The sequence below is a fragment of the Homo sapiens genome, chromosome 4 (assembly GCF_000001405.40).
Source record: "Homo sapiens chromosome 4, GRCh38.p14 Primary Assembly".
Lineage (NCBI taxonomy): Eukaryota > Metazoa > Chordata > Mammalia > Primates > Hominidae > Homo > Homo sapiens.
In genome coordinates this window covers 109,023,536-109,047,900 of record NC_000004.12, presented here as the reverse complement: position 1 = coordinate 109,047,900, position 24,365 = coordinate 109,023,536, and the positions used below count along the sequence as shown (strand labels likewise).

General features: G+C 38.0%; 1 protein-coding gene and 1 long non-coding RNA gene across 11 annotated transcripts in view; one reads left to right on the top strand and one right to left on the bottom strand.

The window, feature by feature from the left end:
- Positions 1-24,365, top strand: part of COL25A1 (collagen type XXV alpha 1 chain) — a 493,934-nt gene that overhangs the window by 254,758 nt on the left and 214,811 nt on the right. The gene's annotated exons all lie outside the window — the stretch shown is intronic.
- Positions 150-24,347, bottom strand: LOC124900756 (uncharacterized). Its single transcript, XR_007058225.1, has 3 exons — positions 23,887-24,347; positions 8,172-8,242; positions 150-3,478 (listed from the first exon to the last, which is right to left on the bottom strand). It is a non-coding gene; the product is annotated as an uncharacterized LOC124900756 (long non-coding RNA).

Genomic DNA, 24,365 nt, shown 5'->3' with positions numbered 1-24,365 from the left:
ATTAGCTGGACATGTTGGTGGGCGCCTGTAGTCCCAGCTACTCGGGCGGCTGAGGCAGGAGAATGGCGTGAACCCGGGAGGTGGAGCTTGCAGTGAGCCGAGATCATGCCACTGCACTCCAGTCTGGGCAAAAGAGCGAGACTCTGTCTAAAAAAAAAAAAAAAAAAAAAAAGAGTATACTTAAAGTTTGGAAAATTATTTTTTAGATACACAATTTTGTGATCATGTGATGTTAGAATGCAATATATGTCCATTTAAATTTGTTTTAAATTTTTTTATTTCCATAGGTTATTGGGGAACAGGTGGTATTTGGTTACATGTTCTTTAGCAGTGATTTGTGAGATTTTGGTGTACCCATCACCTGAGCAGTATACACTTCACCCTATTTGTGGTCGTTTATCCCTCACCCCCTTCACACCTTTTCCCCCGAGTCCCCAAAGTCCATTGTGTCATTCTTATGCCTTTGCATCCTCATAGCTTAGCTCCCACTTATGAGTGAGAACATATGATGAAAAACGTTTATTTTTGATATGATCACACACCAATACCCTCGTGGGATTTTTGGATAACTTATGAAGATTCTGATTTTAAATCCTTTTCCTGGAATTCTGAGGTTTCTTTTGCAAGCAAATCTCCAAGCTATTTCACACTTCTTTTTTCATCTGTTTAAACTTGTATCTGAAATATTTGCATTTGCCAGTCTGCCAAATGTAGATGGCAACATGATCATGGAAATGATACCCCCAGTGAGCTTGGACCAGTCCTCCCTCCTTAGGCAACACTCCCTTTGAAGTCTGTTGGAGTTTTGCCTGCATAAAGAACATGAGATGGAGCCCTTGGAGAGTTTCACTTTCTTTTTTCTTTCCTTGAGTAGGTCATAGCTGCAGCATTCCAGTCTGTTTTGCACTCACAGGAACAGATTATCTTGTCAGCTCTGAGCTAGATGTGTTTTTGAGTAATATCCTGGATATCTGTATCTGACCCCAGTGTTTATACTGTGCAGTGTGCATTTACGGTAGCAATGATCATTGGCCTTGAGATATTTTCTCATCCTGGATAGTCAGTTTGCTCCAAGGTTCGCAGACTCCACGTTGGCAACTTATCTAACAGGCCAGCATGGTCCAGGGACAGGGGCTTAGCGTGTACTTATTTACTTTATTCAGAGGAAACGTTGGCCTCCAAATATCTTTTGCAGTCTTCCTGCCACGTTCAAGGATGGAACATTAATCATGTTAGAAATGACTTTGCTTCTGTAACTGACTTTCAGCTCTTGCTTAATGCTAGGCAGATGGCATGCCTTAGGTCTAGGAGTCTTTACTTTTTGGCTTCATACTTAAGTCTCTTCATGTTAAGTAAGTAACAAACCACTACTACCCAGAGGAAACTCCTGAGGTTACGGCTGGAGTAGAGTGTTCAAGGCTTCTTTTTTTGGAATCCACATTAGCTATGGCAAGAGGTAGTTAAATCTCATTTCTGCCTTATGAATTCTTCAGGATTCTAGTACTTCCTCTTTGATTCCTCGAAAAATCACGCAACCATATAGCTCTCGCTTTCTTGAGGCCATCTGTTAGTCCAAATTTTCTACCTAAAGATGTCAATTGTTCCTCCTTTTCTTATTACATAGAAATAAGAGAGAATTAGCATTAAGCCCCTAGTGTAAGGCAAGCAATATTCTAGGTACTTTACATGTATAATTTCATTTTGTTCTCACACCAACCCTCTGATGTTACCATTCCTATTGTTCAGTGAGGAAACTGAGGCTCATAGAGGTTAATTACCAAAGGTTGCACAGCTAGAGGATTTGCAAAGTTGAAATTCAATTAGATATGTCTGATTTCAAATCGATTCAGTTTACCACTTTATTCCATTCCTTATGAATTATAGTTGTGTTATAACATGGATCATTGTTACATGGGTTTGTCAGGCCATGGGTCAAATCATATTCCTTGATTAAAATAATCACATAAAATATAAAATTATGGCCGAAACTGCAAAATGGCTAATCTATAAAACAAGTATTGATACTGTCCCACCTTGACTACATTTTAAAGAAGTTATAATATGTTTGGCAAACAGCATCAAATCCAAGAAATAAAGTATAATCATGAGTTTCCATACTGACTGGAAGATAATTCAAGTTGCTTATATTTGATAAGATGAAAAAACATTGATTGTACAAAAGAGAAAAAAAACATTGATTATGCTATCTTTACTAATACAATACAACCCTACCATAGTACTTAGGACCCAATATCATGGGCTTCCTTGTGGGTAAAATACATTATGATGAAATCTTCTTGAGCCTCCAATTCCTAAATCTCCATGTATAATGTCTAAAAAGTATCTGCCTTCCATCAAATTTTGCTTTAGAGTAGGTGGCTTTATAACAAATTTCTGGCATATTTTTTATATCTGAGTAAATATTAATGAACAATGGGATTATTACAGTTAAATAAGTTTATCATCAGTATGTTTATTTAGAGGCAATACCCAATTACTGACAATTTTAATTTCTAGGGACTATTCCTATTTTTACATCACCTTAATTTTATGTACAGTTAACCCTTGAACAATGTGGGGGTGAGAGGCACCAACCCTCTGCTCAGTGAGAAATCCACAGATAACTTTTGACTCCCCAAAAACGTTACTACCAATAACCTACTATTGACAGAAAACCTTACTGATAACACAAATGGTTAATTAATATACATTTTATATGTTGTATGTATTACATACTGCATTCTTACAATAAGCTAGAGAAAAGATATTATTTAGAAAATCACAGTGAAGAGAAAATACATTTACTATTCATTAAGTAGAAGTGGATCATCACAAAAGTCTTCATCCTCACCATGTTCACATTGAATAATCTGAGGAGGAGAAGGACGAAAAGGCGTTGGTCTTGTTATCGGCAGAGGAGGAGGAAAACTGGCATATAAGTGGACCAATGTGGTTCAAACCCATGCTGTTTAAGGTCAACTGTATATATTTTCCTTTCACTTCTTTTTCCTGAACTAAAATCTGACAGTTTCTGTAATTTTAATTTTTAGAGAAATGTATTGTCCTACTTTGTATCTTTTAAAACATTATTCAACTATCTCCTCAAGTGTGCTATCGAGGCATATATTGTCATCTTAATCACAGTTGCCCTTGCCTCCATTCTGCACTCTAAATATAAAGCACAAAATTGGTCTGAGAAGTTAGTCTTGCTTCTGGTGAGCAATCCTTGGCACAGAACCTACATCGAGTAAATTTCTCAAACTTCCTTCTGGCCCGCAGTTCCCATGGTGCTGTGGCTTCATGTGTACAGACAGATTAGAAAGTGTAACCTGGGATCTTGATGTATATTTTGCTGTCATTCACTTTCACTTCATTATGAAATGTGCTCCAATAGTGCAAGAGACATTTGGACACTCAGTAAAACAAACAAACTAACTAATAAAAAATTAGATGGCCCAGGGGATAATGGCAGATCTCACTGTAAGATTAAAAGAAACAAAAAAGAAAAGTATTAATGATAAAATTTAATTTAGCAACCATATATTTGCAACTTTACTTAGAATGTTTTGGAAAACTTGGATATATTCCACTAGAATTATGTGTGGATATATAACTATGTGTTTCTTTTGTCAGTTTTTATAGTCTTGCATATTGAGATCATTTATAATTTAAACTTGAAATACAACTTGAATTAGATCCCGTGTATCAATTTATTCTCTAGGAAGCTTTCAGCTTATTACTCAGCCTTATCTATTTTGAGATATATATATTTATATACATACATACACACACACACACACACACACACACACTATCAGAGGAGTCTCTGCTAAAAATGGCTGCAACAGAGCAATTTTGTGATAATGTATATAATTTGTTTTTAAGTGAATATCACATACTTTTTTCTATTTTCTTTCTCATAAAGGTAACACATATTAGAATATTGTTCTAATGGACTCTGTGCATGTGCTTTGAGCATCAAGCTCAGATATCACAACTGTATTTGCTAGAATGATTTGTCAGTCCATTGTATTATGTGACTATCAAATGGTACCTTCTATTTTGGATCACTTAAAAATAAGTTTGCACTTTAATAGGAAGCAGAGAGAGTTTGATCAAAATTTACAAAATGACTTTAGGGTTTTTAAATGGAGCAAATTTTACACATAGTTTTGATCCTTTTCAGAGTCAATAGTGGGTGCAGTCTCTCTGTCTCTTTGTCCCAAAAAGAAGTGTTATTCTAATATTCACAGGTCACAGAATCAAGCAAGTCCTGTAACTATAGCCAGAAAAGAGCCAGGAGACCTTTTTTTTAACTGGCTGTTTTATTTGTATCAGTCTATCAAGCCCTATGATTATGCTTGACTGACAGAGATATGATGTTATTGTTGGTCGTGGAGAACTCTCTGAGGTGTGAAATACGACTCTGTTGTGCAGCCTGCTCTGTCCTGTCCACCTTTAACAATTGTCAGCTCGGTTTGAACCCTAGAATCTTGTTGACAGATGAATGAAGCAGACTTGGCCAAGTTAAGCTTACAATGCTATTTCTGCCAATGTGGTAGATGAATTAGGAAAGAAATCTCAGTAGAACTTTTAGATGAAAACCTCTGATACCTTTACTTCATAATGAAAAAAATGATAAGATTTTTAAGTCAAATTGTGTCTTTTCCTGATATACTAATAACTACAATTTATAGCAGCTACCTACCATGTGTCACTTAACATACCAGTTCTCAGACCACCCCGTGACCTAGAGAGTTACTATACCTATTTTACAGAGAAGGGTGAGCATTGGACCAGTCAAATAATTTGCCCAAGGTTGCACATCTAGCAGGAGACAGAACTGAAATATAAACCCAGGTCTGTCCCTCTTCAAAGTCCCCCATATTTCTATAAGATGTTTTTCAGGCAAGTAAGTTTTAAGTGATACCACCCTCTTTGTAAACATCTTTGTTGTGTCTTATCCTATCCTCATCGTGTATGGTTCATATTAAGCTGTTAGTTATTTGTAGATCTTACATCTTATGACTGCTCTTTTAAACTGCCAGTTACTCAAAACAAACTCGCAAATCATCTAATTATCATTTAACAGAAGCAAATCATGTGGAAGTATGAGCTTTGCCTCTTGAGTTAAGAAAACTAGGTATAAAATTTTCTTGAAGTTTTTCAGCAAATATTCCTTTAATTACTCCTTTTTATATTCCTACTTATTATAATATTTAAAAATTTATATTTGGACTCAAAGAATGTGCTTTTAAATGTGTAGTAACTGTATTTTTTCTATAATAGCAGGGTATTATCATTATTGATGGAGGGAACAAACCATTTATCTTGTAGGAGGCAGTATGAGTGTAAAATACCAGCATAGCTAGATCAATTCAGTCATTATAACAGTCACCATAACAAACCATAGAAGCAAAAGCCCAGAGAATTAATTTGCACTGAAAGGCTGTTTGGGGGTAGAGTTTTAATAGAATGATCTCAGGCTGTCACTTGTCAAATGAACAACTCAGGTTGTTCATTTTGAGCCCCTGCACGCTGATTTGTCTTCTAGGACAGAAAGCAGAAAAAGAAAAAGAATATGACTATGAATGTGTACATAGAATAGATTCTCTAGTGTCTTTTCATGTCTTCTGTATTGAGTGGTTTGGGCTTCCATGTTTGTAGAGAGCACTGTGTTCAGTGGCAATCTGTTTTAATGCTTCCTCTGCTATAGTTTCTGTAGATGTAGTGCCAGGTTAAGCAGAAGTTTGGAATTCTGGAAGTGGCTACAGTAAGGGGCAAAGAGCTGCAAATTGAGCTTAAATAAGGCTGTTAAAGTAAAAAAATTAAAATTTTAAAAAGGAACAAGGAAGAAGAAATAGACATACAAAAATATTGACAATTTTTTTGCAACATTATTTTTTTCCTACGGTCTATTTCTGGATACCATCTGTTTTAGAATAACTTTAGCTGTTGTAACAGACGGACCTTAAGATATTAGTGGCTTACCATAGTAAAAATTCATTTTTTTGCATATTGATGGGCAAGGCTCCTTGCAGGAGCCCAGACTGATGGAGACTCTGCCATCTTTAACATGTGTGTTCCAAGGCTATCTTGGGCACGGTTACACAGCCATAGATAAGGAAAGAGTGGAGGGTCAGATGGGAGGATTTTTTTGACCATTATTGGAAGTTTAGAATTCTATGATTTATATCTCTTCTGACCACATTCCTTTGGCAAGAGTCAAGTCACATGTTCATACCTAACTGTAAGAGAGGGAGAGAAATGTAGCTGTGGGCTCAGAAGGAAAAGTAAACAAATTTGGTGAAGAGCCAGTCTCCACTGCCCTAAGTCTCCACTGTCCTACTGGAAATAATTCTGAAGAAGTAAAAAGAACCAGAAATCATCAGAGAAACATACATTGGTGTATCACTTGGGAATAATGTGGTCTCAGTCTTGTAACATTTTAGAGAAGAACAGTCATTAAAACTATTATCACTAGAAACCTAGAACAGAACAAAAATTAAAGGAAGGGGATTTTTTTTTAAAAAAGGGGGTGACATAAATTTAAAGGGTGGTCTGTAAAAAGAGAAAAGTATTAATGGCAGGTCATGAGACCCAGGCCTTCCAGATTACTTCATAATCTCATTGATAGTGAGGACTTTTTATCTTTCAGTATTTCTCAAATCTTTAGGCACCTCTATTCATTGTTACGGCCTTCTCTTTCCTTGTACCGTTTCTCTTGCCATGGAGTGGCTTAGATCTATAACAGGATTGGGTCCAGGGTAACCTCCTCAACTAGGCACAATTCTGGTTATGTGTCTGGTTTTATATTCCCAATAGTTTCAGGATAAAGTTTAATTTTTAGCAATGCTTCTGTGAAAAAAAGTGACTAACACTTTTAGAGTCAGTTTCATGAAGCTTGAAGAGTGAGCCACTGCCATTCTTATGGTAGGAAACAGGATAACATTTTAAAAGTGAGAGTTTAGGACTGAATCCTTTCTCTCCCCAGGATACTTGATAAGTAAAATTAAATTTGCTTCTTTTCAAATTAAAAAATAAAAAACCAAAACAGACAGTACAAGGCAGTCAAAATTTCTAAAAAGAAAATTCAAAAGGAATGCCTCGGTTTTAAAGCCTTTGCTATTAGTTGATGATTGGACACCTGTGTACCGTTCTAATGTCCAGTCTCCGAACAAATAGAGTGTCATGTCACTGCTTCCTGTTTTGCTTTCTTATGACCAAATATTTAGTCATGTTGCTGAATTCCTAGGGCGGTCTGCCTAATGCAGACCTGTAAATATCTTATGGGACTAATTAGGGAAGTAACTATGTGACTCTTGCTGGTTTGTGAGGCAATAACTAGCTATATTCAAGAAAGCCACTTGAAAATAAAGTGCTGTTACAAAGCAGCTTAGACACATTTTGAATGTTAGTATTTTGAACAAGGTCAAATGAGCGATTTGAATGATTATTGTTTCCTCATGAATGGCTAAACATTTAATAATCTTTGGCAGCATGTGATCAGAGAAGGGCTCAATGTTCCCATTCTTCCAAACTAGCTATGTAAAATGCTGTGATTCCTCTTATACAAAGGGTGGCTTCTGCATAATTCTAATTATGTGGACACCATGACGCTGGCCTACATTTGGCCTAAGTTAACTAAGTGCTGTGTTTGGTCTTAACTGGGTCATGGACTATAATGTGGAAAGAATCCCCTTCTTCAGTCATTAAATAAGTTTTTGTTTCTGTTTTGGTGGAATTAAAAAGACATCAAGATGTGGAATCTAAAGTGTTCCAGGTTACCTAGATGTTCTTATGTTTTAAAAAATTATTAATGATATTTTTATTATACTTTTTGAAACAAGTTCTCATGCATCCTTAAGATTTGCATAGGGTTAAATGGAATAAAGCATGCATCTTTTGTTACTTGCTAATATCTTTGGCCTCAAAGATATACACACATACAAGCAAATACGCACACATATCTCTAGTTCTTACTTCTGCTTAATTTTGAAGGAAGGTATTTCTGTATGGTCAAGGAAAGAAAAAAGGATGGAATATAGAATTTAGAGACAGGAGAGACTTTAAAGGATTGTTAATAATTAGTTCATAGAGTTATTTAAAAGATAATGCATATTCACACACTGATTCATTCATCAAACTAATATTGAGTGCTTAATACATACCACACCCTCTGCTATACGATGAGGATAAATGGCAAATAAGACGTGACTTTTGTCTTCAAGGTCCTTATCATCTAGAGAGGAAGAAAACAAAACAAAAACATAGCAATCTTGTGAGAGAAGTATGCTCAGGATATACCAAGGTGCAGTGGGAGGACAGTAGAGAATATAATCCAGATTTAGATGTGGAGGGGATCAGGAATGCCTCTGGATCTGAGATCAGTGAAGGACTTGTCTGGGTGAAAAATCGAAGTAGTGTGTATTTTCCAAGAGGTTAGCATTTTCAAAGCCTTTGGAACCCAAGAAAAAACTGTCATTTTGGGAAGTGGTGTATGAAATAAAGCTGAAATATAAAGTTCAAGAAAGAGATTAGGAAGTAACTAGTAAAAATAGAGATTGGAGCAGGATGAGGCTATGGAGTACTTTGCATGCCATTCCAAGTGGTTACCCTAAAAGTATGCAGTCTTAGAAGGGCTAAAAGAGTAGGGTGGCAGGGTCAGAGGAACATTTGAGAAGGCCATTCTGCTAAAGGACAAGGAGGAGGACAAATGGGAAGAGAGAGATGATTAGGGTATTGTTGCAGCTAAGCGGGGGGACGTAAAATGATCTGGAAAGAATGGTAGCAGGGGAGATGTAGAGACTGGGGTGGATTTAGGTGGCATTAATGAGTTAGGAATGACAGACGCGTGATGATGTAGGAATGAAGAGGAGATAGAAGTGGAGGTGGCTCTCAGTCCTCATTCTGGCGAATCATAGTGAGGCCACTGAGATGGAGAATAAAGATGGAAGAGCAGACTTGGGTAGGGGTTGATGCTGAGGGCTTCATCTGAGAAACTGTTTCAAGGAAGAACTATAAGCTTGCTGGAGTAGACATGAGCAGTCACCCAGAGGAAGAAGGGAAGGATGAATCTCCAGTGGGGGCAGAGGGGGACACTGCAGGAGCAGCAACTCAAGAAAAGAAGCCTCTTATGGGAAGCAAAGATTTCTGTTTTGAACATTTGAGTTTGAGCTATTGGTAAGACAGCTAAGTGGAGATATTTATTGACGTTGAGAGCCACCAAACTCTTCTCATTGTATCCAAAAATGCTCATTTGCTCAGGACTTTATTCTCTCTACACTGTATTGCTGGCATGATTCGAATGCACATGTTCCTGCAAAATGGCAAATAAGATAAAGACTAAAAAGAATCCAATGGGATTACCAGTAAAAACAGCCTTGGTGATTATATCACTCAGGGTGCTCCAGAGAAACAGAACCATAGGGCATCTATAGAGGTATGGGGATTTATTTTATGGAATTGGTCATGCGGTTGTGGGAACTGGTAAGTCCGAAATCTGTAGGGCAGGCCTGAAGGCTGGAACTCAGGCAAGATTTCTATGTTAAATCTTGAGATAGAATTCTTTCTTCTCCAGGAAACTTCAGTTTTTGTTCTTAAGGCCTTCAAATGATTGGATGAAGCCCTCCCACATTATTGAGGGAAATCTGCTTTTCTTAGTGAACTGATGGTAAACATTAATCACAGCCACAAAATATCTCCACAGCAACATCTAGACTAGTATTTGTCCAAACAACTGGGCACCGCAGCCTCGCCAAGTTGACACATCACATTAACCATCACAGTGAGGTTGTAAACAGACACCTCTTCAAGTTCTACTTTTTCAGATTCTTACTGAACTTGCACAGATGTACCTTCACACTTGTCTTTCATGGCTTTCTTCTCCTCTCTCTGTAATTCCTTCCTCCTTCTTTTATCCATTTCCTTGATTCAGCTTTCATATTCCATGTATATAACCTTGTAACTTGGCAGTGTTGTGTAAATATGCATGTCTGATTTGATAAGCTTTCCTGGCTAATAATAATATAATACATTTAATTGAAAGTAAGTCATCAAAAGCCCGTTCACATAGGTCATTTGATGCTATGACCCCATGAAGAAGGCAGGACTGATAAAATTGTGCTATTTTACTTTATAGCTGTCAGCAAGGGCTCAGAGAAGGAGAGTGACAGACTTAGGGCACACATGGCTCAGAAGTGACACGTGGGCCAGCTCTAAGCTGTGGAAGGCTTACATTTTATTTTTCTGTAGCAAATAAATACAGACCCACACACTTTTAGAGAAAAGTTACAAAAGAGTCTCTCTGCCGCACATGCGAGAATGAAACATTCCTGGTAAACTGGCATTTGGAACCTATGTAAAAGAAATTGATTGGTGCTAGCATTTCTGCTGCCCAGCAGAGGGGCTGGCCAAGGATTGAGGGTAGCACTAGTCAGGAGGGTTTTGAGAGGCAGCCAGAGTAGGCTGCGCTGCAGACCATGCCAGACAGCCTCACTGTGAGCTCCCCTCCTCCTGGCTTTGGATCCATCATACCTCACTGTGTTCTGTGGAGGAAGAGGAGAGTGGAGATAGAAGAGCTAAAGAATCCATGCAAAGTGGCCGAGTCACCACTTCCATTAATAAATGAAATCCATATTTGTGCAGCTAACTCATGAGAAAGAAGGAGAGTATTTGGCAGGCAGAGTAGAAACCCAATCTGGAAACTACAAATTTAAAAACAATTATTTTATGTTTTATATCACAAGCTTCCTTTTGGAGGCCTTTGTTAGCTACATCTATGTTATGATGTTCTTCTGGGAGACGAAATGGAAGCATTCTAAGAGCTTTGTGCTGCCCAGAGCACAAGGATTTTATAGGACACATGAAAGCATACTTCAGTCCTGTACTGCAGACATGGTCTTTTATTCTGATATATAATTTCATTCAACTGTAGTAGACACACATACTTTGTCTCTTAATTTGCAGTTTGGGGAACAACTTCAACTTGCTCCCTTCCAGAGAGCATTATTAACAACCAGTTGGCATACAGTTCAGGCTTTTTCACAGGTGAGAGTGAAAATTGAAAGAGTGGATTAGAGAGTTCTCTGCAGGCATGCTGGATAATTTATCACCCTTCTGTGGTAATGACTGAATGTATATATCTTTCACCATATGTAGCCTTCCATTTAGACTTCTAATCAATGGTGAAGAATAACAACTGGTTTTTAAAAACCATCCCTTAGAGTGGAACTAATCAGCTTGTGGTTTCCTTTCAGGTAGTCTGACCATTATTCAATATGCCCTATATATATCCTTGGATAGGAAATGACCTAAACTTCCACTTCCAGTTATGTGGATTATTTATCCTGATGCCCTCTCCACATCCACCCAACCCTCTACTTTGCATATTAAAGTTAAGCCTCTAATCATTGAATCTTCATGTCTGGAAAGCTGATCAGGAGTTGCCATTACATACAAACTTACTTTGTACATTATATGGCATGAGTTGAAAAGAAACTATTATAGAATTCTTGTATTGTTTACTAGTTTGAAAGTCGTGTGGAAAATGAGAATTTATTCCTTTGTCTGACTATATCCCCTGGGTTTTATTTGTTAAGAATGTTATTTTCCCATAGGCATTAGCTCCCTTGTTTAGAGGGGAAAAAAAAATCCTTTTTAAATCTTTAGTTTGGGCCGGGCATGGTAGCTCATGCCTGTAATCCCAGCACTTTGGGAGGTTGAGGTGGGCGGATCATGAGGTCAGGAGATCGAGACCATCCTGGCTAGCACAGTGAAACCCTGTCTCTACTAAAAATACCAAAAAGTAGCTGGGCATGGTGGCGGGCGCCTGTAGTCCCAGCTGCTCAGGAGACTGAGGCAGGAGAATGGCATGAACCTGGGAGGCGTAGCTTGCAGTGAGCCGAGATCACGCCACTGCACTCCAGCCTGAGCGACAGAGTGAGACTCTGTCTCAGAAACATAAATAAATAAATAAAAATAAAAATAAAATAAAATAAAAATCTTTAGTTTGGTGATATTAATAGAGTTTAGGAGAAGAGAGTTTGAAGAGCATAAACAAACTGGTGGCAATTTTAGATTGTTGGAACATTTTAAACAAAATGAAAAATTGCTTGACCTTGTACAAATATCATAATTTATAAGGAATTCACTACAAAAATTGTATATTTCCTATAATATGAAGTTTCCTATGTGTAGATTTTAATGAAAACCACAAGGCAAATAAATTTGGATTGGGAAACCTCTTCCTATTCATCATTGAGAAGGAGAAGCTTTTATTTTGTCATTAAAAAATATCCTTAAAAAGTAGGAAATTTCTTTCATTCCTGTTCGTTTCTAGAACTTCCAATACTATCTAGAAATTCCAATAACTAAAGTACCCCGGTCATTTCTAGGTTTCTGTTCTGTTAAAAGTAAATTTAAATAGAAAGTTTTTATTCTTATAAATTATTATTGGAAATTGATCTGTCTCCTTTCTCTTTATACTAACAGGAGCTCAAACTATTGCTCTTAAGTACTGTGATTACCAAGATGTAACATACTTTAATACTTTCAATGATTTATAATACACTTATTATTTTGTCAGTAAATTAGACTCCATGGGCAATATAAGCATTCATTTTAGGAAAAGTTTGGTAACAGTTAATCGATGGTTTACATTAGAAGGTTTCTTGCTTGGGGACTGGAAGTCAGCATCATTTCAGATGTGCCTTTGTTGGCTGACAGTAGCTATGGCAGGCAGCATACTACTAAAATCAATATGATAAATCTCTTGAAAAAGGATACTTTTTCTGTTACCTATATTTTCTCAACTTGTCTCACCCTATGCTGGGTATGCTTTTAAATACTTTAGGATACCAAAAATGGTATCCTACATTACAAGCCTTCAAACTTCTTACTTTTAAACTATAACCAAAATTAGATAAATGTTGTTTGACTTTATCCATCAGGGCATCATATGAATCCCAGTAATATGAATATGTGTCTTTATATAAGATTTCAGTTCCCTGTCTAAACATCAAAATACAAAACCCCATAGTGGAGTATTAAATTTTAATATTTGGCATTTATAAGATTTTAATTTATTTTAAACAACTTTCAAAGTGATGCATATATAGAAATTGACCAAGATATTGACTTGTCTTGTTGGAATTGTCTTGTAGCTGAAACTTTTCTGCTAAGTAGATAAAAAGAATCTTTCAGAAGGATATTTTCCTGAAATTTTTATCTTCAAACCATGTAAAGTTTCAGAGTGCATAAAACACTAAATTTATAGAATTGTTAAGAGTTAATAGAAAACTTAGAGATTGGGTCCAAGCTAGGTCATCATTTTTTAAGTTAATGAATTCAAGTGAAGCCCAAATAGGAATTTGAAGAGGGACCTTGTCACATGGACAGAACCACTCTGCAGTGATGAACGTGGAGACAATGAATTATGGTATACAGTATGCTGTTGTATCTAAATTAATTCATTTCTAAGGGCATATCTTTTCTAATGCTCCATATATTTAAAAGTTCAATTCATCAAAGTCATCATGCCATATCTGTTAAAAAGATTCATTTCTTGCTGAACTATAGCCAACAAATTTTCCAGAAATGACATTTTTCATAGTTTATTGTGTCCTCATTATCAAGGCAAAAACCATATCAAATGTGTTTCTTGAGTGACACTCAAGATCAATGAGAATGTGCATTCTGTTTCTGTATGCAGAGCTTTCAGTTTCTTAAGAATAATGAGAACTTTTAGGTAAAGATGTTTTTCAGGTTTCAATACTACTACATTTTTGTTATTTAAATATTTGTGTGGTTAAGGAATGGAATAGCACTATCAAGGGAATCTATTTTCTATTCTTTAAGTACTATAATATTACTCTTTAATTACTCGAGTTAAACCTCAAAACTTTGTTAGTCTTTAATTGCTTATGTTTTGCTTTAATTTAAGTGTCAATACAATTGAGAGGAAGTTTGGGAATCTATTTTTTAATTAAAATATTTAAATAATTCACCATTATTTATTAACTTTGATTTTATTATTCCTTTTGGATTATTATTGTTAATGTTTGTGCAAGTGAAAGAATAAAAATTTATTATGTAATGATATAAGATTGATGATGTTTGGTGTAAAAGATATTACTGTCAAAATAAATTAGCTTTTTTTTTCCCTGCAAAGATTAGATTTTATAGCATTATTAAATGAACTAATATTTCTCATTATTCTTTACCTGCTATGTGCTCTTCATGAAAGGGAGATGTTGAAGACAATTTAGAAACCTGGAAATTTCCTACACCAAAAAATAGGCAGGTTAAAATTCCATTCCTCAGGACCGCAAAAGCAAAGAGGTTCCAAATGTTTTGTTTCCTTTCAAAATGTGAAAAATCTGAGCCATAACTTGGTTTTATTACTTGACCTCTCTCCTCTGATGGGGACTGCCTTTCACTGTTCCTGCTATCGCAACATGACTGTGCAAACAAGGGGCCAGATTTCATTGTGCTGTGGATTGTTGATGTGGGGCACGATACCTGGAAGCTAAAGGAGCCCGGAACTGTTATGTGCCTGCCTTCTGACATTGGTGAAAAATGCTCCCATGCCTAATGGCACAACCAGGTCCCTTGACTGCCTCTGTGAATAAGGATAGTGCTACATAACTCTCATGTCCTGGTTCATGCTTCATACACCTATACACTCTTTGTGTGTATGTGAATCTGTACATGTGTTGTGTGTGAACTGAACTGAAACTTTTCCCTGAACTTTCCTTTCAATGAAACAAAACAAATGGCTGAGGTTTGCAATTTGTCAAAAGCTTTCAAAAGATTGCTTTAGCAGACTTTATTTCTGAAGGTTCATACTGGCTTTCCATCCTTTATGGAGGACCTGGTGGGATAGCCTAATTTACTTGTGCACACCAATTATTAATACAAATGTCTACCTTGGCCTACTTCCTTTCATTTATACAATTTCAGGGATGGCTAGTCAGCCATGCTCCAGGCGGGACGCAGACCCATTCATGCATGGGGCAAGTGCTTTATTCTCTCCCCAGTAGACTCCGAGCATGCTGTGGCTACAGTCTGTGGAACACTTTCTTTCATCCCTCAGCAGTTATTTAGAATCGTTCAGAAAGAACCTGCCGAGCCTCATCAATAGAGGTAATTTAGCCAGTGGCTCTAAAAATGCTAAGCTACATTTCCTGTCTCAATGGAGAACATCTATGCTATAAAAGAAATGTATTCAGATACTCTTGGTTATAACATTACAGTATCTGATTTAATCTCAGCATCGCTAATTGCATAATGTTATCTGTTAAAATAAATTAAGGTGGTTGATTTCTCATTATAAAACATTTTATTGCAGTGCGAAGTGAGGACTTTAACTAGTTTTCACAACTTGAGCCTCTGTCAAAAGATTTTCCAATTGCTTGGAAAGTATGAGAATAAAGTATGGGAATCTTAAAGTGCACTAACCTCTTTGTGTTATTTGTGACCATAAGTTCCCCTGTTGAAGAGTTTAGGACTTATTTTTCCATGTTTCTCTAGCATCACTGCAGTGCCTGGCTTAATAAATGTAGGTTGAATAAAAATTCATATAAGAATGAATTTTTAAAGAGTCAGATGTTTTTGGCATGCCTTCCACTGTGGAAGGACTATGTGGTGTAACATCATAGTTAAAAACCTAGGCTCAGGAATCTGGCAGACGCAAATGTATGTCTCAGTATTTCCATTTACTAGTGGTGTGATCTTAGACAAGTCACTCAACATTTCCTGGTCTCGGTTTCCACAGCTGTAAAATGGGGTGGATAATGGTACCTGCTGATGTCTGCAAAACCAACATCACAGTACCTGGCATATTGTAACAACACCATAAGTGTTAGCTGTTCAAGGAGCATGCAGTTTAATAGAAGAGATAAGCTATCAATACCTATATTTTAAGGCAGAATGTAATGCTATAAATGAATTGAGACAATGATCTGTGTATATTTGGAAGAAATAAACTTCCCATCTGCTATAGGAAAGCAGACAAAGCTTTGGAAAGAGGTGAAAGCTGAGAGCATGGATGGGATTTTGAGAAGTGAATGAGTGGGAGGACACACCAGGTTGTGAGGATAGCAGGAACAAGAGTGTGCTAGGAGTCAGGAGCTTATAGCAATTGGAGGAAGGTCATGGGGCTAAGGGCCTCTACACAGGCTGGAGCTAAGGGTTTTGACTGCCAGGTCTAACTATGCCTTGATTTGGTCAAAATGAGATGTCATTTTCTTTGATGGAGTAAAAGTAAAGCTTTAAAATGTGGGCAGTACATCTCGCTGGAACTGCCTGAGTGCTCCAAGTGCCATTGTTCTCCCTCTGGCATTTCAGCAGCACTCAGCTTACCCAGCTGCTGGCATCCTTAAGGTTTTGTGACCTGGTGGGTGACGTTTATTTGGTCTCGCTACAGAAAATGTAGGAATGGTGATTTGCGTAAATTCTTTTTTTTTAAAAAAAGTATTGTAACATGGCCTGGCGCGGTGGCTCACGCCTGTAATCCTAGCACTTTGGGAGGCCGAGGCGGGCGGATCACGAGGTCAGAAGATCGAGACCATCCTGGCTAACACGGTGAAACCCCGTCTCTACTAAAAATACAAAAAACAAAATTAGCCGGGCGCGGTGGCAGGCGCCTGTAGTCCCAGCTACTCACAAGGCTGAGGCGAGAGAATGGCGTGGACCCGGGAGGTGGAGCTTGCAGTGAGCCGAGATCGCGCCACTGCACTCCAGCCTGGGCGACAGGTATTGTAACACTTTAATATATGGCATATAATTATTGAAAGTTGTGTGGCATAAGAAAACAGGTCTGCATAGTAGTTATCCTGAAACACACGGCATAAAGGAGTTTTGGCCAGGCACAGTGGCTCATCCCTATAATCCCAACACTTTGGGAGGCTGAGGTAGGTGGATCACTTTGAGTCCAGTTCAAGACCAGCCTGGGCAATATGGCGAAACTCTGTCTCTACAAACAAATACAAAACGTTAGCCAGGCATGTAGACCCAGCTACTCGGGAGGCTGAGGTGGGAGGATCGCTTGAGCCAAGGAGATGGAGGTTGCAGTGAGCTGTGATGGTGCCACTGCACTCCAGCTTGGGTGACAAAGCGAGACCCAAAACAACAACAACAACAACAAAATGAAGTTTTACCCTTTTAAAAATTTTTAACAGGCATTGCATTGTGGTACACCTGGAAGCCTGACTTTAATATGTCCATGTTGATATGAGGAATGACTGCACAGGCCTTTGACCTACCTCAAAGTTCCCATACAGACCAGAGAGTCTACATGAATCTTGGCTGAATCTTTGCAACATCAGTAATTCACTACATTAGTCACTTATTCAAGGGTCTTTCACAGATATAATTCTCTTTTGTCTTCACAACTACTGAGTTCGTGCTGTGGGTCCTTGGTGGTTCCCTTCCTCCTAGACCTGTCACCCAAAGCCCAGCTCATTCCTTGCCCCTGCCTGTCCTCTCTGGAGATGCACTAGAGGCTATTCCACTTGAACTCTGTGGCCAGTGCTGAGCCAAAGTGTGCCCAATGGTGGGTGTAGGATGGGAATGATGGGGCAGCTGCCTCTCTCCATAGTTCAGGTGTGGGGATTCATGAATTCTAAAGACCAGAAGGGGCAGGGAGTCAGGCAGCAGCTGCTTCCTTCTGTTGCTATTTCTTTCATAGCCTATCTTGTTGACTTCCGTGAAATGATGACCCAGGCACCACCTCTCTGGAGGGATGTGATACACTGAGCTGCCTTCTGCTGCTTGTGTCTCAGTTGGCCTGTCCATGAGGCTTGGCCATTTATTTTCATCCTGAGGAAGTAAAGGATAGAGGATCCGAACTCTGAGGAGCAGGAGGTGTGGAGAAAGGGTGTATTAACGTCCGTAGCAGGTATCAGCTATGCAAGGAAAATATTTAAAGCAGGGAATAGATTTAGGTTCTTTATCTATGAGGTGCCTGGATGCCTCTGATTTCCTGTTTTCAGAGTAAATTGTGTAATAGCTCATCATGAATAATATATAAAGACAATAATATCTAAGAATTATAAGGAAATTAAGAATATTGTAGGCAGGAAATTACAAATTTGTATGAGTACTCTGTATTTCTGAGTTTTTGAGTTCTTATTGAATAAATATAGACAATATTATCCATATTATTTTTACATAGTAGTTCCTTCTTGTCCAAGGCGATATGTTCCAAAACCCTCAGTGGATGCCTCAAACTGCGGATAGCACCAAATCCTATACGTATATGTTTCTTCCTACAAATATGTATACACATATACCACACACATACACCTATATAAAGTCTAACTTATAAATTAGCTACAGTAAGAGATGAACAACAACAATAATAAAATAGAACAATTATAACTATATACTACCATAAAAGTTATATAAATTTGGTCTCTCAACATATTTTACTGTGCTGTACTCGCCCTTCCTGTGATGATGTGAGATGACAAAATGCCTACATGGTGAGAGGAAGTGAGGTGAATGACGTGGGCATTGTTGACGTAGCGTTAGGCTACTATTGACCTTCTGCAGGTGGCATATACAGCATAGATACATTAGACAAAGAGGTGATTCATGTATTGGGCGGGATGGAGTGGGATGGCATGAGATTTCATCCCACTACTCAGAATGGTGTGCAACTTAAAACTTAGGTATTGCCTCCCTCCTGTATCATTGGTTTTTCCTCTCTTTTGGATAATTTCATTAGCATAGAATTATGCCATAATATCTTTTGTCCTCAAAATGAAACTTCCTTGACCCCATATGTTTCCCAGATGCTGTTCCATTTCTTTATAGCTCCCACTCCCTTTTACAATGAAACTCTGGAAAGAGTTGCCCACACTCATCAAATATTGTTTTCCCACTCTCTCTCTAATCTAACATGGCCTCCATCTCTACCACTGTACTGAAAACATTCTTCTTAAGGGCACTGGTTACCTTTATTATGACAAATTTAGTGGTCAGAATTCAGTTCCAACTTTGCTGGACCACATTCAACACAGTGAATTGGTGTCTTCTTGAAACACTTTCTCTGTTTATCTCCTTGTTCTTATCACTCTTTCAAGGTGCTCCTCCTACCTTACTCACCACTCCTCCCTTGCTAGCTAGTCCTTTTTCTTTCTTTTCTTTTCTTTTTCTTTTTTTCTTTTTTTTGAGATGGAGTCCCGCTCTGTCGCCAGGCTGGAGTGCAGTGGTACAATCTCGGCCCCCTGCAACCTCCGCCTCCTGGGTTCAAGTAATTCTCCTGCCTCAGCCTCCCAAGTAGCTGGGACTGCAGGTGCATGCCACCATGCCCAGCTAATTTTTGTATTTTTAGTAGAGATGAGGTTTCACCCTTGTTGGCCAGGATGGTCTTGATCACTTGACCTTGTGATCTGCCTGCCTTTGCCTCCCAAAGTGCTGGGATTACAGACATGAGCCACTGGGCCTGGCCCCTTTTTCTTCTTCATGATTTCTACATGTTGGAATGGGCAGGGCATGGTGGCTCATGCTTGTAATCCCAGCACACTGGGAGGCCAAGACAGGAGGATTACTTGAGCCCAGGAGTTCAAGACCAGCCTGGGAAGCATAGCAAGAACCTGTCTCTACAAAAAAATAGAAAATTAGCTGAGTGTGGTGGTACGTGGCTGTAGTCCTAGCTACTGGGGAGACTGAAGTGGGAGGAGTGTGAGACTGCAATGAGCTCTGATTGCACCACTGCACTCCAGCCTGGGTGACAAAGTGAGACTCTGTCTCAGTGAATGAATGAATGAATAAATAAATGAATTTTGAAATGCCTGATGGCTCAGAACTTGGACCTTTCTTCTTCCTTATTTACATTGCCTCATTAGATGATCTCATATAATCTCATGGCTTTAACTATTATCTATGTGTCAAAGTCTCCCAAATGTATATCTCCAGTCTGAACTCTCAGAATTTTGGACTTGCATATCCAACTATCTATTCAACGTTTGCACATGGATGTCTCCTAGAGATCTCAAATTTAGCATGTTCAAAACCAAATGCTGGAATTCCACCCTTACTCTCCAAAGCTGCTCCTCTTCCAGATCTTCCACACATCACTAAAGAGCAGCTCCACTGCTCTAATTGCTCTGGTCAACCTTTGGAGTCATTTTTTACTGCTCTTTTTTCTCACACCCCACATTCAATCTAGTTGCAAGTCTTGAACCAGAAACTGACCACTTTTTACCTCCTTGGTTGCTATTACCCTGGCCCATCCCATCCTTTATCTTTCACTTAGAATGCTACAAAAGCCTCCTAACATCTCTCCATCTGTACACCCCTGCCTTTCTACTGCCTTTTCCCGATAGTGGACATGATCCTTTTCAAATATAATTCAGATTGTGTCCTTTCTCTGTGCAGAACCTCCTCGCCATGGCTTTCTATTTCATCCTGATTAAAAGCCAAGTTCTTATCATGACCTGCAAAGTCTCTCTGATCTCCTCCCTCCTGCTCTGTAACTTTCCTCCTTACTCTTTTTCCTCACTCACTGTAGTCCAGACGCACTGTCAGTTGCTGGACACGCTAAGCACACCTCCATCTTACAGAGCATTACCACTTGCTGTTTGTTTTTCCTCCTTTTTTCCATTCAAGGCCCCCCCATGACCACCCTGTAAAATAGCGCCCTCCCATTGAATTGTTCTCTAGCCTCCTTATCCTCATGTACTTTCCTGCTGAGTCCTTATCGCTGTCTGCCACATTATTCATAAACATTCTCTTAAAGCCTGCTTCTCCCACAAAAGTGATAGCGGGGCTTTGTTTTAGCTACCATATTTATTATAGTCCTAGTACCTGAAGAATGCCTGCACACTGTAGGTACTCAACAAATATTATGTGAATGAATAAATAATCAATTTTATTCCTCTCACATCTGCCCCATCCCTAGCAGACTTCTATTTCAGAGTCCTCTGAGATTTAAGGAATGGAATACATCCATTTTCTGCCTCTGTACAGCAAATTGATCTGTATTTATTCTCACTTTCTTTCTTCTCATCTTATATAAGATGGTGTTCTTTCTCCGCATTCTTCTTCTCTGACTCCACTTCCTTTTGTGTTCTCTTGCATGCTGATACTGCTCTGCAAGCCATTTCTTTTCTCTATGTCCTGTCCGTTTGTAAACATTTTCAAGTACCTCCCATCTTACCACAAAAACAAGCAAGAAAAATTTTCCTTAACCCTATATGCCTTTTAGCTACTCTCCTATTTCTTTTCTTCATGCACAGTTACTAAAAAGAGGTGTCTACTTGGGCTAGCAAATCGTCGGCACACATGTTTTCCACTGTTGCTGTCTGTAGACATTCCCTATCAATCCCACACCCTTTTCCCAAGTCTATAACCAGCCTCTGAACCTTTAAACATGTTATTCCAGGCAGTCGTTAATAACCAGAGTTCACACTTCATATAACGCCTGCTTGCCATCTACGGAGCTTATTCTTTTCTTAATTTCCTCACCTCACTGCTTAATCAATTACAATACAAATTCCAACTTTCTACTTGTTAAATGCAATGGACTCCTTGTTTTAATCAATTTGCCTTCTTGAAATTCTCTCCAATCTTGATTTCTGTAACTCTAATTTTGTTGTCATTGTTTTTAGGTTTTTTTTATCCTCAGTTTCCATTTTGGAACACTTTTCCTCTCCTACTCTTGAAATATTTACATTACATTACATTACCCCTAGTCAGGGGTTCTTAACCCAGGTGAATTATTTCCTAGAGAACCCGCGAACTAATTTAAGAGTATATGTGTGTGTGTGTGTGTGTGTGTGTGTGTGTGTGTGCAAAGTGTTTTATATGTGGATATTTCTAACCACTGCAGCTATAGCTTTTATCCAGTTCCTAAGAGGGCTAAGAATGACTGCTACTTTCTTTCTCGGGGTAATCTTGCCCAAGCCCATGGGCAGCCAGCATGACACAAGTGAGAGCTCAAAAGGGTCCAAGTCAAATAAACCCATGTTCATAGTTTGAACTTCCCCTTTTAGAAGCTGTTTGACTAAGGAAACGTTATTTAACCTCTCTGAAACTTGGTTTGTTCAACTGCAAAATGGTAGAAATGACCCCTAATTTGCAGGGTTATTGTAACAAAGAGAGATGACATTTGTAAAACTCTTGGTGTTGTGTAGTGGTCAGTAAGTGGTAGCTATTACGATTCAGCCACAAACATCTGGGTCCCTCAAGAACATAAGCTTGTCAGCTTGCAGAGCCTCTCCTCCCTCATTTTAAAACAGGCTTCATTTTTAGGATTCTGCTTTAGTGAAGCAGTAAGCATGATGTGACTCATGCATTATAAATTAATTGACTCTCTGGGTGTTAGAAATCTGCTAGCATGCATTTATTAATGTGAAACATCTAGGACAGCTGCAGAGAGCATTGTCAAGTCTGTCTTTGTGCACAATATTTAGAAAATCAGAATTGGGCACATATAAATTTAATCAGACTGAAAGATGTTTATAAATTGGCTTCCAGTATTTATCTGGAACAATCAACATAGCACACATTAAGAATGTTATTAAACATAGCAGAAACCAAATTACTCAATATATACAGTGTAATAAAAATTGGTAGGGCAGTAAAAATTGCCTAGGTATGTGTTTTTAAAGCAATGGAAGCTGAGCAGGTCTCTTTTCAGAGGTACTTCATATATGTTTATTGTATCCTACTAAACATGTCTGTAAAACTGATCATTTACTTACACCTTGATTGCCAATCCTGATTCCATGCCAGCTGGTGAAAAGGCTTGGATAAGCAAGATGTTTTAGAAGCTTGACAAACATTTATAGTCAAAAGTGTAAGTTATTTATACAACTCCATAAAATAATGCAGTTAAATTACAACCCAGATATTTTGGTTTGCAAAACAGCAAAGGATCCAAGGGCCTCTATGCCTAGCAGGGATCCCCAGTTGATGTGGAGTCATGACCTCTTCTCGCTGGTGTTTAACTGTATAACTCTTCTGCCCCTTTCTTTATTCCTACTTCCAAAAGTGATATGTGGCATACAGAAAGGTAGATTTAAAACCCTTACTTACTGAATTTTTGAGAGCATATCTTAAGCATTTTGCAACATTCTTCCAAGTAATTAAAAACACCCTGAATTGGAAGAAAGAAACTCGAATTCAAAAATCATTGACCTAGATCTTTGAGTAAATGACTAATATGGAAAAAAATTAACAACTTAATTAAGGGTTTAAAAGTTTTCTGCAGTTAATTAGTTATCATGTGACAATATATTTTTGTAATCATGAGATGGGGCTAGTAAAATTTAGAGAAGCATAAAAAACTTAAATAATAAAAATATTTACTTATAATCCTATCATCCGTAGGGAACCACTATTTTTGTACATGTTTTCTTTCTTCCTCTCTCCCTCTTCATCTCTTATTTTCTTTTCCTTCTCTTTCTTTTTTTAGATAGATTTATAACCATATGTCTGAATAAATATGTATATACACAAAAATTATGTCCTAGAAAATATATAATCTGTATTTTGTATACTACAGTATAAATAAGCATAATATATAAATATATATAAAGTTGATAATTGGAATAACACTGCATTTTTAGTGTTATAAAGAAATAGTCAGATATTTACAGATGCTCCTTAATTTATGATGGGGTTATGTATGTCCCAATAAATCCAGAGTAAGTTGAAAATGTTGTAAGTAGAAAATGCATTTAATACACCTAACCTACTGCCCATCATAGCTTAGCCTAGCTTACTTTAAATGTTCTCAGAACACTTACATTAGCCTACAGTAGGACAAAATCATCTAACACAAAGCCTATTTTATAATAAAGTATTGGCTATCTCATGTAATTTATTGAATACTGTACTGAAAGTGAAAAACAGGATAGTTGTATGGGTACTCACCATGAAATAACGTACACAGAAGAATGCCCGCTAGGCCTGAAGAATGTCTGAAGCATTGAACTAAAAATAATTGCTGGATGATGGACATCTTGCAGCAACAGGGTTATCAATCTCTCTCTTCTGAGAGGCTTGAGAATAGCGAGTAGAAGGGCATTACACTTGTTGATGGTTTAGCAGGCACAGTGTTCTTCTGGAAGACAGCAAGTTTTGACTGTATGGTTTGTTTCTTCTTTTCATTATATATTTCTCTTTATTGCAAGCAAGAGCATCCTGTATCTGCCATCAGCGCTTGTGAATCTCTTGTAATTGACATCCATTTCTGTAATTTCCAAAAGCCATTGCTAATAGTAGTAGCAAATATTTCTGCCAGTTTCTTTGCTGTGAACATTCTTGGTGCCTTGGACATAACTTCTGCTTTCTCTGCCTCAACTTCTTTACTTCTTTCTTCCTCCAGTTCAATTAGCTCCTCGTTGGAAAGT